General features: G+C 40.1%; 1 gene segment (V, D, J or C); it reads right to left on the reverse strand.

The window, feature by feature from the left end:
* Positions 1–2,672: 2,672 nt before the first annotated feature.
* Positions 2,673–3,223, reverse strand: IGHV3OR16-17 (immunoglobulin heavy variable 3/OR16-17 (non-functional)). The segment is given in 2 exon segments: positions 2,673–3,001; positions 3,099–3,223. Coding segments are annotated over 2 exon segments (375 nt in total).

Here is a 16,812-nt window from a genome sequence, read left to right on the forward strand (position 1 = left end):
AAAGGTAACATCTTAAACTTAATAATTAATATGCATGCATTTCATAGAGAAGAAAAAAAGTCAAGACATGAGGAACATATATTCCTTTTTTCCAATCAAATGTAATTAAATTATTTATACAATATTTTAACCTGTGTCATTAGTATAAATTACTAATATTTTGTGTGATATTACAACTGATAACAACTTTTAAAGAAAAAAAAGATGCTTGAGAGCACGTGAACTAAATTGAATGTATTCTCAAAGTTGGTCCAACTATTACACTTCAAAGTTCTAATAATACCCTGGTTTGAGTGGGACTTTCAAAAAATTAATTTTAAGAGATAAATTTAAAAAATAAACTGATAATCTGTAATAAAGAGAAATCAGCATTCCATATCAGAGAAAAATGAAAATTTGCAATACATGTAAAGTCCTGAGAAGAAACCTTGAAGCACGGAAAGGGTCTCATGTATAGTAGGTTGTAATACGTCTATTGTTAAAATTATCACCTTTATGTTGTTTTGAAAAATTAAAGCTAAGCATAATGAAATTAATGTTTTTGTGCTCATCTGGTATAACAGCATGTTGAGAAAATGGAAGAGCCCTGTAACCCTGAGGAGGTGGCTTAATCCAAGGAGAGGCATCAGATTTAAAAATATATAATTAAAATTTCATTGAAAATGGAGAAAGTTTGGTTGTATATATTTATGGGGCACAAAGCTATGTTATGGTTTGTGAATGCAATATGGAATAATTGAATCGAGTTAATTCACATATATATTACCTCAAATCGTCAAATCCTTATCTTTTATGTGACAAGAACATTTGTAATTTTTTCTTGACTATTTTAAAATGACGAATACACTATGTTAAAGCTTAGAAATAGACATCCATTTATGTAAACTATAGAGAACTGTTGAAATCAATTATAGATTACTCTAATTTATATTTAGCTCATCATTAAGTTTAATTCTTTAGAAAATATTTTAGAATTATTTTGTTATAATGTTAAATATAAATGACTACACATGTATGTATAGGCTTGTGTATTTACACATATGTCTGCAGATGTAAATTAATGTCCCCATAGGTATGTAGTTGCTGGTATGGACAGACATTAATAAAACTAGGCCGGGCGTGGTGGCTCATGCCTGTAATCCCAGCACTTTGGGAGGCCGAGGTGTGCAGATCACGAAGTCAGGAAATCGAGACCACACTGGCCAACATGGTGAAACCTCGTCGATACTAAAAATACAAAAATTAGCCAGGCATGATGACGCGCACCTGTAATCCCAGCTTCTCGGGAGGCTGAGGCAGGAGAATTGCTTGAACCTGGGAGGTGGAAGACGTTGCAGTGAGCTGAGATCGTGCCACTGCACTCTCCAGCCTGGCGACAGAGCAAGACTCCGTCTCAAAAAATATTTATAATATGAGCATGATTATATTGCCAAATATAAAATAAAATATCATAATGGCAACAATCAATTTTACCTGTCACCTTGACTAGACCGTAGTCTCATCTATTCAATCACACAGTAGCCTAGGTGTTGCTCCCATGGCATAATACAGGTGTTAGTGGAGCCTGCCATTATTTTTTCCTAAGTCACGAAGAGTGTTCTAGATAATCTAGTTGGGACTGATTCAAAGACAGCATAACAGAAGACGATGGGGCTCCGTGGTGGACGGCAGATGCAGATCTTCCCAGGAATTCCAGCCTGTCTTTCCCGAAGGCCAGTAGTATTGACCTTAAACTGCCTAGCCAGATTCTACAATTATTGTTACCCAGAGCTCACAGCACAATGGAGTGCCCATCCTCAGCTCTTCTCAAAGTCACAGGTGAGAGTCCAAACTCAGATAGTGTGAGAAGCACAAGATCAGCTCTACATCAATATCCCATTGGAGAAAACTAGTATTATTCTCTTCATGGCTAATGTCCACTACATTTTCCAAATGCCTCCATGCACAGAAGACAACAGGAGTGTCCAGACAATGGTGAGTGAGAAAGTCCCCTCAGCCTACCCAGGTCCTGCAGACCCAAGCCCTGGAATTTTGACTACAGAAAACACATCTTCTGTTTTCAGGGAAGAGAAGAAGAAAGGGAACTGTGAGAATCAAGTCTACAGAGATGGAAAATGGATCAGCAGAAAGAGGGTCAGCTGAATCAGTCTGAGTCAGATGGGCACAGTTTTACAAGTTGAGAGGGGACAGCTGTGAAAACCATCAGGTTTTAAGGACCCTGACCCTGGGTGAGCCTCTCTCTTGGCTCCCATCAGAGCTCAAGGCCTGTTCTAATCAGAGATTCCCATGGAGGTCTCTGCTCTGAGTCTAATTGGAAAACACTCTCCAGGTTTCCCTGAGATTCCTCAGGACTCTCATCCTGACCATGAAAGGATTATTTCTGCCCCCAAAGTGACACCCTGGCTTCTGTGGAGGTGAGGGTGTTTCCTCTTGTTACAAAAACAAAGGAACAAAAAAAAACGTTTTACATTTAGAGACATCAAATGTTAATATAGAATTGTAAATCTGGAGAAGTTCCCTGGGGAAATTTGACGATGAGGCTGCCCCAGGCCATGACAGAAAGCCAGCCCTCAGCAGCACCTGCACCTGCCCTGGAGACAGCCCCGTGCACAGTGTCCTGGCGCCCCCTGGTGGTCTCTGGGACCCTTTCAGGGAGGTTTGTGCCTGGGCTCTCACTGACTTCCCCTCGCTGTGTGTTTCACACAGTAATACACAGCCGTGTCCTCAGCTCTCAAGCTGTTCATTTGCAGATACGGTGAGTTATTGGCGTTGTCCCTGGAGATGGTGAATCGGCCCTTCACAGAGTCTGCGTAGTTTGTGTAACCACTATCACCACTAATGTATGAAATCCACTCCAGTCCCTTCCCTGGAGCCTGGCGGACCCAGCTCATGTAGTGGTTACTGAAGGTGAATCCAGAGTCTGGACAGGACAGTCTCAGGGACCCCCCAGGCTGTACCAAGCCTCCCCCAGACTCCACCAGCTGCACCTCACACTGGGCACCTGCAAACACAGAGACAACCTGGTCAGAAACTGCCACATATATTCACTGCTTATCTCACTCACGTCCTCTCAGTGTCTCTAGTTCGCCATAAATCACCTTTTATAATAGCAACAAGGAAAACCCAGTTCAGCCCAAACTCCATGGTGAGTCCTCTGTGTTCAGTGCTGATCACCAGATGGAAATTCCTGGGAATTCTGGGGCTGGGGCTCTTCTCCCAGAGTTGCAGGGTCAGGGCTGGGCTGGTTTTTATCAGCAGACGGAGGGCCCTATTTGCATGTCTCCTACTATATAGCAAGCTCTGTGGTGGGACAGCTGAGGAGAGGGCAGTGCCCAGAGAAGATGAGAGCATCCCAGAAAACATTGGAGGTAATCCTATCTCTCAGGAAAATATAACTTCAGATTATGTGATTGTGCCTTGATGATCAATTAGCAGTCATCATCTTATTTAATGTTTACACATTTGCAGAATATATTCAGTGCAAGTGTCAATGTTACATTTGTAGAGAAGATGAATTACATACATAACAGAGCAGTTGTGCAATGTGTCCAATATCACACATCTGGCCAGAGTTAGCCCTATTACCTGTGTCTGTGCCTCTAAACACTGGAGGAGACTGCTCCCCTGAGACAGCTCCAGGGCGATGTGGGACATGCCTAGTGAGGTTTTCAGGATGTCCCACCTGTCATAACAACTTTATGTGACTTTGCTTTTTCTAGTGTTTACCTGAAATATGCAATCAGTGTTCACATGTGTGTATTTTCAGGAGTCCGTGATTATTCAAGTGTCAATATTCATCTCTTTCTTCCTCTTCCTCAGCCAATATACTCATTTTTTGTTACTGCTTTATTCAAAAATTCAATCCATAGTGAATTCAAATTTATAGTGTACAATTTGGAAAATGTTGGTATATGTGTACAGCCTTTGAATCAGCACTTCAATCATGCTATTAGCAATTAAATTAACCTCTAATTTTTTCTCTCACTTCTCTGTAATTTTATTTCACCATCTTGTTACTCTCACCACACTTTTCTCAGAAAAATTCAGATCTTCTCCATGTTAATTTAGAATAGTTGCATTTTCTACAATTTATACAAATGAAATCACAGGAGATTTACTGTGAATTCTTTAGCTTCCTACACTCAGCACAATTATTTGATAATGTCCTCACATTCTTATGTGACTGAGGCATGCCTTGATTTCAATTGTTCATTGTATTTCAGTATATGAATATTTCTCAAATTGTTTAACAATGCACCAAATAGTGGATATTTGATATTTTGTCTTCGTTTCTGAATTTTATTTAGAAAGCAAATACTAAGCATGGGAATGTAAAAAAAATGAGAAAATGATCTTCTTCTGACCTCATTAATAAGAAACTTGAACAACTACGAAAAATGAACGCTTCAACATATCTGAGTTGATGTCACAGAGAAAAAAACCCTGAAATCTGAGAAATAAGGGCCTGCAGAGAGAACTAGGGTCCATTTATTAGAGTACCTGGAGCAGGTGCCACTCGTTGTATAGTATTGAAGATAGGAAAAAGCTAACCTGGAAATGTTTCATGAGTTGTTGAGGATGTGTGTGCTAAGGGTGTGAGAGTGTGAAACTCCCGGCACTTGCAGGCTTTTCCTACAGAATTGGGGAAATACCCAGACAAGTCACCCACCTGCTGTACTGTGGTGTTGACTGGGGAGGAAGAATAGCAGCTGTGTTCAATGCTGAATCCCCCTTCATGATATGTGGGAGACATTTATTAAATCTTGTGTCCTTCAGGCACTGGTAGAATCAACTAGAACACAAGGAAACAGAGGACACCAAGGAAACTCTACCCAGAATCACCTCCCATCTCTTTCCTGAGGAATGAAGTCCTGAGTCTGTGGGGTAAGGACAGTGGGTCAGAAGCTGAGGACACTGATGAAAAACCACTGTGGCTGGGAAGAGACACTCTGACTTGGAGAAGGGAAGGAACAGGAACACTTGGAAGACCATGCTTCAGAGCCACTCTCACCACCCATAGCTAAGAAGGAGGCTCGGTCAGAAGGTTGGAGAACATCCCCCTGTGTCCAAGCCCCTTCACCCCACAAACAATCACCAAGTAAAAGTGTCAGCAGGATGCACCTGCCACAGATGAAAGAGACAGGCTCTCTCTGGGGAGAGAAATGGGAAGAGCCAAACCGGGACACAAAAGTGGGTATCACTGGAGGAACCTGAACTTTTTGTGAACAGGAGAAGCTGACTTCAACTCTGATAGCCGTGGCAACCATACACTTGAAATCCAACCCTGACTAGATTCATAGAAATGTGGTTAATAAAGGCCCAGCAGAATGTAATGTGTGATCGTCTCCATGAATAAAATAATAAACACAAGAAAATAAGTTACAAGTGAAATGCAAACTGGAATTCTACATGCATTATATTTTCATTAAAAGTGAAAGGCAAATAAAATTCTGTCATTAAAAAAAGATCTTGAGACAATTTATTGTCAGCACATTCATGCTTCAGTGCACATTTTAACAAACTTTCTCTGCTAGTAGCCATGTGATATACATTCAAAACATAAATCTATACGAAGAAATTAAGACTGTACAAAATGAGAAAATCAAGATGAAGTACAGTTTTTATCTTTGTAATTGCTATATTATATAACTGTAAAAGGAATAAAAAATTACATATTATATTTTATAGCATATGTAAGTGCAAACTGGGAATAAACAAGAAAGAGTGGTGAGAAGGAGGAATTCAAAGCACACAGTTACACTGTCTCTGTTCTTCATATCAAGGCCATCACAGTATCTGCATTAGAATCTAATTATATACAATTCTTATAGAATCTAATTGTATACACTTCTTATACAATCTAATTATATACAATTCTTATTGTAAACCTTATGGTAAACAATATAATATTTATAAAAGTGAATTAGATTATATGTTAATAGAGAAATAAACGTCATTGTGAAGTGCTAATTTAAACAAGATAACAGAAAAATAATATTAGTTTAAAAATAGAACTTACTATAGTTGATTTAAAAAAACAAGCCCCAACTAGAAGCTATGTATTAGAAAATTACAGTACATATTCACAAATGTAAAAACTAAAGATGAGAAAACATGGATTATGAAAATGTTAACCAAAATAAATCTATAGTAGCTGTGTAAAGTTAAGAAAAAATAGACATCAAAAAAGACTTTTAGGACTTAACAGGGATATTACATAGGATAAAGTTACCAGTTTTTTAAAAGATGCCAAAAATACTTAACAAGTATAGAATAGATGAAGAATGCACCATTCTTTGTGATTTACAAAACAAACATGATAAAAGAAGTAAAGATGTCAGTGAGACCGTGCACGTAAGGGTGCATGTAAAAACTTCCTCTTGAATTTCTCCCTGTTGCCACCCACACCAACCCCAGGCCTGGAGTCTGCTGGCCCAAGCTGATGCTGCAATCTGTGAAGGTGAATCCAGAGTCTTTGCAGGAGGGGCTCAGTGAACCGCTGGGCTGTACAATTTTTCCCCCTCAGACTCCACCAGTGAACTTCACATAGGACTTCTGCAAACACAGAGAGAATGGACTGAGAACAGCCGCATGTGGAGCAGCCCCAGCTGGACCTGATTCACAAGGGCCACTAATACTGAGGGTGATGAGAAGGGAAGCCCAGATCAGTGCAGATCCCACGGTGTGGACACTGAGGAAGGGCACACACATGGGATGGCTCCTCACCGGGGCCTGAAGGAACAGGGGATGAGCTGCCTTTCATGAGGAGGGGAGGGGACATATTTCCATGTCTTTCTTTTTGTGGTCCTGGGTGCACCGCCCGGCATTGCTCATCTGTCCTCTGTGTCTCCATTTCAGGGAGGGCAGGGTCAAAGGATTCCCGGGTCTGGAGGCACAGGGTTAATCTGCCAATTACTCTTTCTTATTCTCCAGTGTGGACACTATTCAGGTATCTTCATAGTAGAAAACATTATCATCAAATACATCCAGTAAGAACATAAAAATACATTTCCAGAGAAAACAGACATCTCTCTGTAATCAGTACACTTAGAGCTGGAAACCACTGTTCCTGACCATGTGGCAAAGTTGAGTTACAATGAAAATAATGCAGATCTACACCTTGTTAGGGAGGGGGTTTATAATTATCATTATCTGGAGATCACTTTTCACAACATATTTCAACATCAGATATATGGACTTGTGTCAGGAAACAGTCAATGTGGACATATGTGTACTTATCTGAGTGAAGAGTTCACATGGGGACGTGTTTGCTTGTCTGAGACAAGAGTAAACGTGAGGAAATGTCTGTTTTCTGAGGAAAGAGTAAATGTAAGGACATATGTGGTAGTCTGAGGAAAGAGTCCATGTGGGGACATGTGTGTTTGTCTGATGGAAGAATCCACATGAGTAAAGGTGTGTTTGTCTGACAGAAGAGCCCACATGTTGACAGGTGTGTGTACCCATTTGAGGGTAAATGAGCATTCAGGGACAGGGTATGCCTGAACTCAGCTGACGTTTGGGAAAAATCTTTCTCAATCTAGGAAAGAAAAGGAATCCTCTGGGTTACTTGCTTGTCAGGAAGAGAAAACCTGGGTCAAGTAGAAAATTGATTTTTTTCAAAAAAATATCTTTAGTAAATGGAAACATCTTATATGTAAATGAGGAAAATTACTTCCTTCTTTGTTGCATGCATCTCATAATATCCCCACACTCCCAAATATGTTATTAGATAATTTTGTACAGTCTGCATTTTATCCAGGGGTTAATGAATTCCTAAATATATTTTTAATTGTGTATATTTAGGTTTATATTGTCCATCACAAAATTATGAGCTGGGACAAATTAATTGTGTCTTGTCTCAACCATTGCATATCACTAAAATAGTCTTAACTCTTCTTAAACAAGGCCTGTTTTACTTATTTCACACCCACTCTCTAAATTCCTGGAATATCCTCTCTGTTTACCTGAGTATAGTTTTGACTTTTACAGAATTTCAAATAAATGAAACTATACAGTGCAATTGAAATGACTTCACTGAAGAAAGTGGAAAATGAGGTTCCTGAAGTAAGCAACTTTGAAAATGAGGTGGTTCTCTAAGTTTAAATTGTAAAGAAATCACACATAAGTACTCTATCTAGTAGATAAACATGTTTCCTACAAGGGTACAGCTTCTCATTTCTGAAACCGCTATGTATGTGTCCTGAAATCGTGCAACTAAGTAATCAAATGGCATGTGGTTAGATGGGATTCCTCACTTTGTAGTGGATGGTTATGGACAGTCAAGAAAGGAAGGTTATAAAGGTCCATGTGGCAGCATAGTTGGGTGGAGAGACCAGTGTGTGCTCATTTTTAATGTAATCAAGTTACAGAAGATTAGGTACATAGTTTCAATGGGTCCATAAACATGATTCATATAAACATGCTCATTTACTAGAACAGAAGGTTGAGAGGTCCCAGAAGTACTTATACCACATTAGCAACACACATACCCATTATCACAATATTTTATTTTAACACTATTCTTTAAAATCAGAAACAAGCAATCTTTATATACATGGCTAATTCTATGTATGAAAAAGGTGATAAAGAGACAAGCTTAGAATCCATTTTAATATCAGGAAACAGGGAAGTGTTCAAAAACAAAAGGATCAGCTTTGCTGTAAGGATGCAGGATCCAAACTAAATGAGCTCCCAGCACCTAATAAAGCTGTGGAGATTTGAACAAGAAAATGAATAATGTAGCATGGATCTTCTTCAGAGTATGAAACAGACATCCATAAACCAATATGGATGTTAATAGATGATTAAACAAAGAAACGATGGGAAGAAGAACACGTCTTCTTGTAGAAGTATTCCAAATATCTCAGGCAGATATTCCTCCAATCAATAGGTGAAGGCTAAACATTCATGAGTTGATTGTGTCCTGAGATTAGAGACATGGAATAAATAATCACTATTAGTGTATTTTATAATGAGACTTCAGATATAATGCCAAATACATGATCTATGAATGAATAATTTTTTATGTTTTTTGTCTAAATTTGTGCACACACACACACACACACACACACACACACATATTTTTTGAAATACCCACTGATAAGAGAGAAAAAGGCAACCACAGACTGGGAGAAAATACTTCCAAGTCATATATTTGTTAAATCAATTCTTTCAATTTGTTAAATGACTTTTATAATCAATATGCAAGTAAACTTACAACTAATGAAAAGAAAACAATGGAGATAAAAATGAACCAAATATCAGGAAAGGCATCTCAGCAAAAATTATATAAAAATTGTTTAATATAAATTTTTTTATTTGGGACATGTGCATTTAAATAAATATTAGATGCCATTACTCACCTATCAGCATGGCTAAAACTCACAATACTCATGATGATAAATGGTAACATGAATGTGGAAAAACAAGAAATGTCATGCATTGATGGTGGGGATTCAAAACGTTACATGCACAAAATGAGATTTTTTGGCATTATTTAAATAGAGATAAAAGTAGAGTTAAAATGTGAACTTGTGCTTGTGTTCCGAAGTATTTACAACGTTGATTCAGAAATTGATGTTTACAAAGATTGATTCAGAGGAAGTTCTGTATCAGATTTGTTAATGTGATTCATTCTACAATCCCTGAAATTTGCTTGCAGAATAAATGTTGTATGAAAAATATCTCAAATAACTAAAATCCTGTCCACTCAAGCCCTTGTCCAGGGGCCCATCGCACCCAGTGCAAGTAGCAGTAGGTGAAGGTGTATCCAGAAGCCTGGCAGGAGAACACTGAGGCCCCAGGCTTCTTCACCTCAGCCCCAGACTGCACCAGCTGCACCAGGAAGTGGGCACCTGTGGGGAGGACACAGGATGGATGAAAGCCCCCTTGACTGGACTCAATCCCCTCCTCATTACTGGGACCTGGGAACCCCTTACCTGTGGCTGCTGCCACCAAGAAGAGGATCTTGCAGGTCCAGCCAATGGTGAGATGTACTCTCAGGGGATTCTCTCAGGTGATTCTCTCAGGGCACAGAACATATTTACCTCAGTGGATATCAGTATATTTGCATATTCATAAGACAAAGCCTTTCTTAACTCAAAGCCCAATCCGTGATAAGAAAGGGAAGATAAATGACACATCAGCCTTACAAGAGTGAGATGAAGATGGTCGAAGTCCTAATCCTGCTTGAGGAAATGCATGCCCTGCTCCATTTACAAACATTTGTGGACAGACATCCTTTCACTGAAGAATAAGCCCGTATAGAACAGGCTCCTCACTGTAAGCCTATATTTGATTAGCATAGAGACCACCTAGATCATTTTTGGAACCATCACTCTCCATCACACTGAGCAGGTGCCTTGGTCTTTTCCTGGACCCATCAGGCACCAGCACAGCTCATTGGTGACTCTGAGAAAGTGACGCTTATGTCCCACATGAGTGTCCAGGAGGGACCTCTGAGATCTACTGGGTGCTCCTGAGACACTGTCTCCAGCACCTGACTCATGTCCTGATCCCCCAGGATCTTCAATTCTATTGAACACTGTTGGTTTACAGATTTGCCCTGTGATGCATAATTAGAGCTGATTTTCTCATCTCACAGACAATGGGAATCAGAAGAAGATAAAGCAGGAGTTTGGAGTCCATTATGAACTCTCTACTCCCAAAGTAATTGTCAAGGAATTTGTGTTTAGAACAATTTTGGGTTATTTTTGAACTCCACTTATTAGTATTTTGTCAAGTATTTACATACTTTCAGTTCATATCCACAGACCCTCACCTTTCCATATTGATTTCTGACTCACTTGGTCTGTGCACCTGCCACACTCTCAGATCCACTACTGCCCTGTCACTCATACAATGTAAGCAACATTACTTAACACTGAAATCTGAATTTCTTATTCATAGGAATGAAGTTTCTTCAACTAATCTGTACCCATAGAATTAGTAAAAACATGCCCATCCTTCATATTCTCACTACTAAGATATTATAGTTCTAGAAACCCACTTCAAAAAATAGTTCTCAGTGCCTTAAGTTATATGAATGGTTTTGATGTGATAGAATATTTAAAGCACGTCAGCGACTTTTTGAACAGTTATTTTAGATGTTTTTTCCTGACAAAGGAAAACCCAGGCCCTGAGAGGAAACTTCCACCCCAGCTGTGCACCTGCTCCAGGGCTGGAACCTGTGCTTGGTGGCTCCCAAGTGCCCCCTTTCACCCAGGCTCTTGCCTTGCAATGAGGTTTCTGTCGGGGCTCACAGATATTTTCCTTCAGAGTCTCTAGCCCAGCATGAAGTGGCTGTGTCCTGATTTAGAATTCTCTGCCAGTGACACCATATGCTGCCGACACCATGTCTTTTAACAATTGATTAGCCTCACTAAACCTACTGAGGGATACCCACAGAAAAGATTCTATGACTCAGAAGGGAGTCCCTTTTCTGAAGCTTCACATTTCCTGAATCAGTGGACACATAATGAATACAAAAACTTGTAGGATTTGGGGAATGCCTAGTTTCTTCGTTGGGCTCCTGCAGTTGAATGTTGCATCTGAGAATATCTGCAGGTACAGATACATTCAGAATAAAGACACCTTTGTATATGCTATTCCAATAACACATATTCTCCTTTCTTACTATTTTCTAGCCTATAAAAGCGCCTCCTACACAGACACTAGGCCTAGGTTTATGGCTTTTTTCTCTTAGCGATCTAAGGCAAACAGAATACAAGTGGAGACTTGGGAAGTGCATGAATATTTTTTCTCAGCTAGGAACCCTGAAAATGCCCCATGATAAAAGAATCTGAGGTCAATGGATTTGCCAAGACCTTGTCTTCAAAAAATTTATGTCAGAGGCTTCAGATTTTCCTACTGTCCTTGTCTTTTTCTCTGCCATTGTCTTTCAGTTTCCCTATGTTCTCCTCCTCAGATAGAGTCTGTGCACTGCCACACTTTCATCTTTAACCCAGATTATACTGGTGAGAAAACAAAGTGTGCATCCTGGAAGTATTATATGTTCTTACAATTGATTCTTAATAATTCAATCATCCTTTTTTTCTCTGGGCTGTGACCTATATGCAGAGTCTCCAGAAATGAAACTGATGCTTTCCCTTTTCTGGCTATAATATTATAGGATTATTTCAGTATCGGCTAATTTTATCCACTTTCATGATAAAGGAAGGCTGCTGGGAGGGTCTGTAATGGAGATGGACTACCTTACCCAATACAGATAAGGTTCTAGATATGTCTTTCCCCTGGATGGTCTATCTGGAGAAATGTACGTGTGTATTTCTCAGAGATTAGGTCTTTGGATGATTTATCCAGGAAAGGATCTATGTCGATTTTCACTCGAAGAACCTGGAGGTTCCTGGAGCAAATAAGCACAAGAGTGTGAGGTGTGGGCCCTCTAAGATCTCTCACCCTCACACTAGTTCAGACATGCCCTTTATGTTTACATAGTTCAGATTTACATATAACATACCACACAGCCAGGCCCATCTAAATTGCCACATGCTCATTTAAACTCATCGGAGCAGCAGCTGAGTGTAATCATCACATTGAACTCAGAGAAACCTGGGTCCAATACACTGTTTATTATAGCTCAGAGAAGCATCACTGAGTCCCTTGAGTGGATGTTTCTTCCCTGAAAGAGCTTCACTACCAAGTATACTAAAGAGTTGCTATGGAGCCACTGTGGGGTTGGATTTCTTTCTGTCAGCCTGTCATGCAGGGTGTTTTGAGTGATGCAGACCTTTATACTTAGATGTTAATCATTCCCAGTATTGTTGAAATGGCTGGCCACCCCCTGTCCTCTTTCTCCCCTCCACTCACCTGAATGTCTCCAAAAACCCCATGAACCTAAGGATTCTCTTTTCCATGGATGACTCTGAGGATTCTCAATCTGGTCAGTGCCACAGTCAGAGGCAGCTAATGGAGGATTCTCAGTCCGCTAATATGTTGAGCCCATAATTTAGGATACATATCCAAGAGTGGCCAATTCATGTCAGTGCCAATCCACATTTAATTCAAGGGGCATGATTTTCAGTGCATTGAAGTTTAAAAGCTTCATCATTCTTAATAGAGGCACAAACTGAATGGTTTGCTGAAGAAGTGAGTTCATGGTTAGAAGAAAGCTGACTGCACCCAGGCAGAGTCTCTTTAAGTAAAACACCTGAAATGTGATGTCCTGAAACCTTGTGAAAATTCATTTCCTTGAGTAAAAAAACAGGAAAGCTATTCTCAAATCATTGGGAGAAAACTTATCAGAAATTTTATGAACACACCAGTTGAATTACAGTAAGTCAATCCTTGGGTTTATGTTTCACAACTCAAGAAGCAATAAAGAAATCTACATAATTGGAAGGCTGCTCCAACAGAGAGAATTTTGAACTATTTAATCAATAGACCAGTATTCGTTCAAAGACACTCTCCTATGGAATCTGCAACTTAAACAGATCTCTGCAACCTGGAAAAATTTTCTCACTTATTTTTCTCTAGACATCCATAAATGCAAAAACACATTTTGTGTGTATATGCATGAGTGATCTATAGAAATACTTTGCATATTAATGAAAGTTTGGAAAAATGATAACTTCATCACTTATTGTGAACTCACACTTCACTGGTTTCCAAAATTCTCCACCTGTGTCATGGGGCAATGGGTGCCTCTGAGTATATGCTGATTTTCAGACTGAACATGTTCTCCACTCCTCACTTGACTTCTTGGTTTCTCACTCACACTGATGTCTCTGTGAATGAAAACCCAACACTGATATCCAGCAGATTTTCCTCTTACAAGATTCATATTCTCTCTATCTCTTTCTTTCTCTGCATGTCTCTAACTCCCTATTTTTCTGTGCCATTACTATTTATTACTGAATCATCCTGAATCCTGTCAACAGACTCCATCTCACATTCTGCAAATATTCTGCCTTAAAGATAATTAGGGGCAAACTCATCCTTGCCCAAGGTGGGAAAACTTTCTGGACTTCCACTAGGTTTATTAGAGCCTCATATGAGAACCATGATCAAACACTATGTGTTTTTGGATTATACCTCAAATCTAAAACTGTTCTTCATAGTGGCTATGACATTCTACATTCCCATCATTACCATTATGCAAAACAGTGTGGTGGCTTCTAAATAAATTAAAACAGACATACCATATGACCAGCGATCCAGCTTATGGAAATATACCCAAATGGGATGAAATTACCACCTTGTGAAGATACCTGCTCTCCTGTGATTATTGTAGCATTATTCACAACAGCCAAGATATGGAAACTAAGTGTCTGTCGATGGACAAATGGATAAAGACAATGTGGTATGTGTACACAATATAACATGATTCTGCCTTATAAAATAAAGAGATGCTGCCATTTTCCACAAGATGAATGGATTCCCACCACCTCTAGCAATGCATTTTACCCATTTCAGCCCCTCCCTGGGAGCTGGCAGATCCAGGCCCAGTAGTAAGGACTGGTTGTGATGGAGTGGCCAGAAACAGTGCAGGTGATGCAGAGGGGCAGTGCAGGCTCTTCAGGTCCAGGGCTGACTCCTGCAGCTGCTCCTGGGACAGGGCATGTGAGTACATGGGGAATCAGTCCCTGTCAGTCACATGTACCTACACTCACCCCATAGACCCACATCTGAGACACTCACCCTGGGGGAGCCGTCACCAGGCACAGGAGAAGACAGACATAATGCCATCTTCTTCGTGAACACAACTCTGCATTCCCCAGATACCTTAGCCCTGCCTGAGGGGAGAGCTGTTAGCTTCCACAGTCCAAAAGCATTTTATACCCTGGAGCCTAAAGGATAGTTTGGATGTGGCAAGGCCTTGTACTTATACGAGAGAAGGACATAGGTCTGACTCCCTGTGGGTTTGAATATGTTTTATTGTTGTCTGTCTGTTTTCAGGTTGACATGAAGCACTTCCTTGCCAAAAACTACAGTCATGACATTTAATAAAATTTGCTTTATTCCTATTTTCCCACCTGTGACATTTGACCTTCTGTATCGAGTGAGCAATGTGCATACCTTACAGGAGAAATTACAAAATAATTCTCTAAGTCATCAGTATCACACGAATGCTACCCTGTCCTTACTGCCAAATATCTTCTGGAAAAATTTAAGTAAAAATAAATGACAAGTTGCATTCTTAAATTGAAAGTAGCATAACATTCAGAAACTCATGAAATCCCTTTGCCAAAGGTACTCCCACTAGAACTTAACAGCCCATGGTCTGCTTCCTCAAGGGCAAAGACAATATCACCCTATGACTTGATTCATCAAAAGCCCATGTATTTTCCATTTTACCTTCAGCATTATACTCTGATTTATCACATGCCAATACAGCGAAGTATTTTAGGGGATCGATGTGCTATGCAGAAATATTCAACAGGATGTTAAAAATGTCCTAAATAGCTTCTTTACTGCCATCAACTTGTAAATTATTTATTTTCCAAGAGACATCGGAGAAAAACAGTCACAAACATTGTAAAAGGGGCTAATTACAATTAACAACAAATGCAGCAGTGACTCCAGGATGTCAATCCATAGGTTTATGAGTGAAAATGAGGTGGGTTACATAAATTGTTTTGAGAGTATTTTCCTTGCTTGTAGAGTCAATACCAAGGTTGGCATCAATATAGGGTTAAACAGTGATTTTCTGGGAAGATGTCCTTGTAGAAGTGATTTTTATAAGGTCATGGTGGCTTCTATCAAAGGTTGTGGTTAAGCAGAATCCATTCATGGTCGTTCTTGTTATCAGGAGTATGTGCATGGGAAACCTCCTTCATGGTCATTCCTAGTTCCATTTGTCAGGGTTTTAACACAAGTGGATCTATTTTGATTCTGACAACTTTCACAGCCTCTTTCTAACACTACTGGTGAGGAAGGTGACTCACTCTGTGGTACTTTGCACAGCACAGGATAAATTTCACATCCACATCCCATTTTGACCACACAAGCTCATCCTCTTCACTACTGTTGGCCACTTGCATTCCCAGGTGAGTCTCCACATGACACACTGGAGGGTGCTGAGCAATGGGAGAGAGGAAAGTCCTATCAGCCTCTCCCATATGGCTGCAGGAGCCACAGCCTGAGCCCCACCTCAGCTGCAGGGAATGGGCTTGAGACCTCGAGCTTTGGCAGCAAGAACCACATCCCCACTTTACAGGAAGCACAAACAGCACAAGGAAGAGCAAGAACAACAACAACAAATAAAAAGAAATAGAGTGGGCTAAGAGCAAAAGGGGCCCCAGATCAGTGCTGATACTAAGTTGCATACTTTAGTGTCAGGAGAAGGGTCAGGCATGAAAACTGTGAGGTTCTACATGACACTGACCCTGGCCCAGACTCTATTGGCTGTGATCACAATTCCTAAAGACCGTCCTAGTCAGGGAATCTCACTGAGGTTTCTGTTCTGAGTCTGACTGGAGAAGACTCACCAGGTATCCCTGAGTTTCCTCAATACTCTGATCCTGGTGACAATGGTTGAGGGCTTTTCATCTCCGTAAGCATCAATCTGTGTTTTGTGCATAGGAGAATAGGTTTTCATATTAAAATAATCATTTTAAAAATATGTAGAGATGACATTGGTAAGCACAGAATTCTGAACTTAGAGAGATTCCCTAGAGAAACTCTAAAAAGATGAAGTCCCACATCCTGACAGGAAACCAGCCTCCATCTGCAACTTGCCTCTGGGGATGACTCTGATCAGTGGGTTCTGTGCGCCCCCCGCAGCTGATTTCCCCCAAGCATTCTGCAGAGAGGTTTGTGTCTGGGCTCACACTGACTTCCCCTCACTGTGTC

The sequence above is a fragment of the Homo sapiens genome, chromosome 16, assembly GCF_000001405.40.
Source record: "Homo sapiens chromosome 16, GRCh38.p14 Primary Assembly".
Classification (NCBI taxonomy): Eukaryota; Metazoa; Chordata; class Mammalia; order Primates; family Hominidae; genus Homo; species Homo sapiens.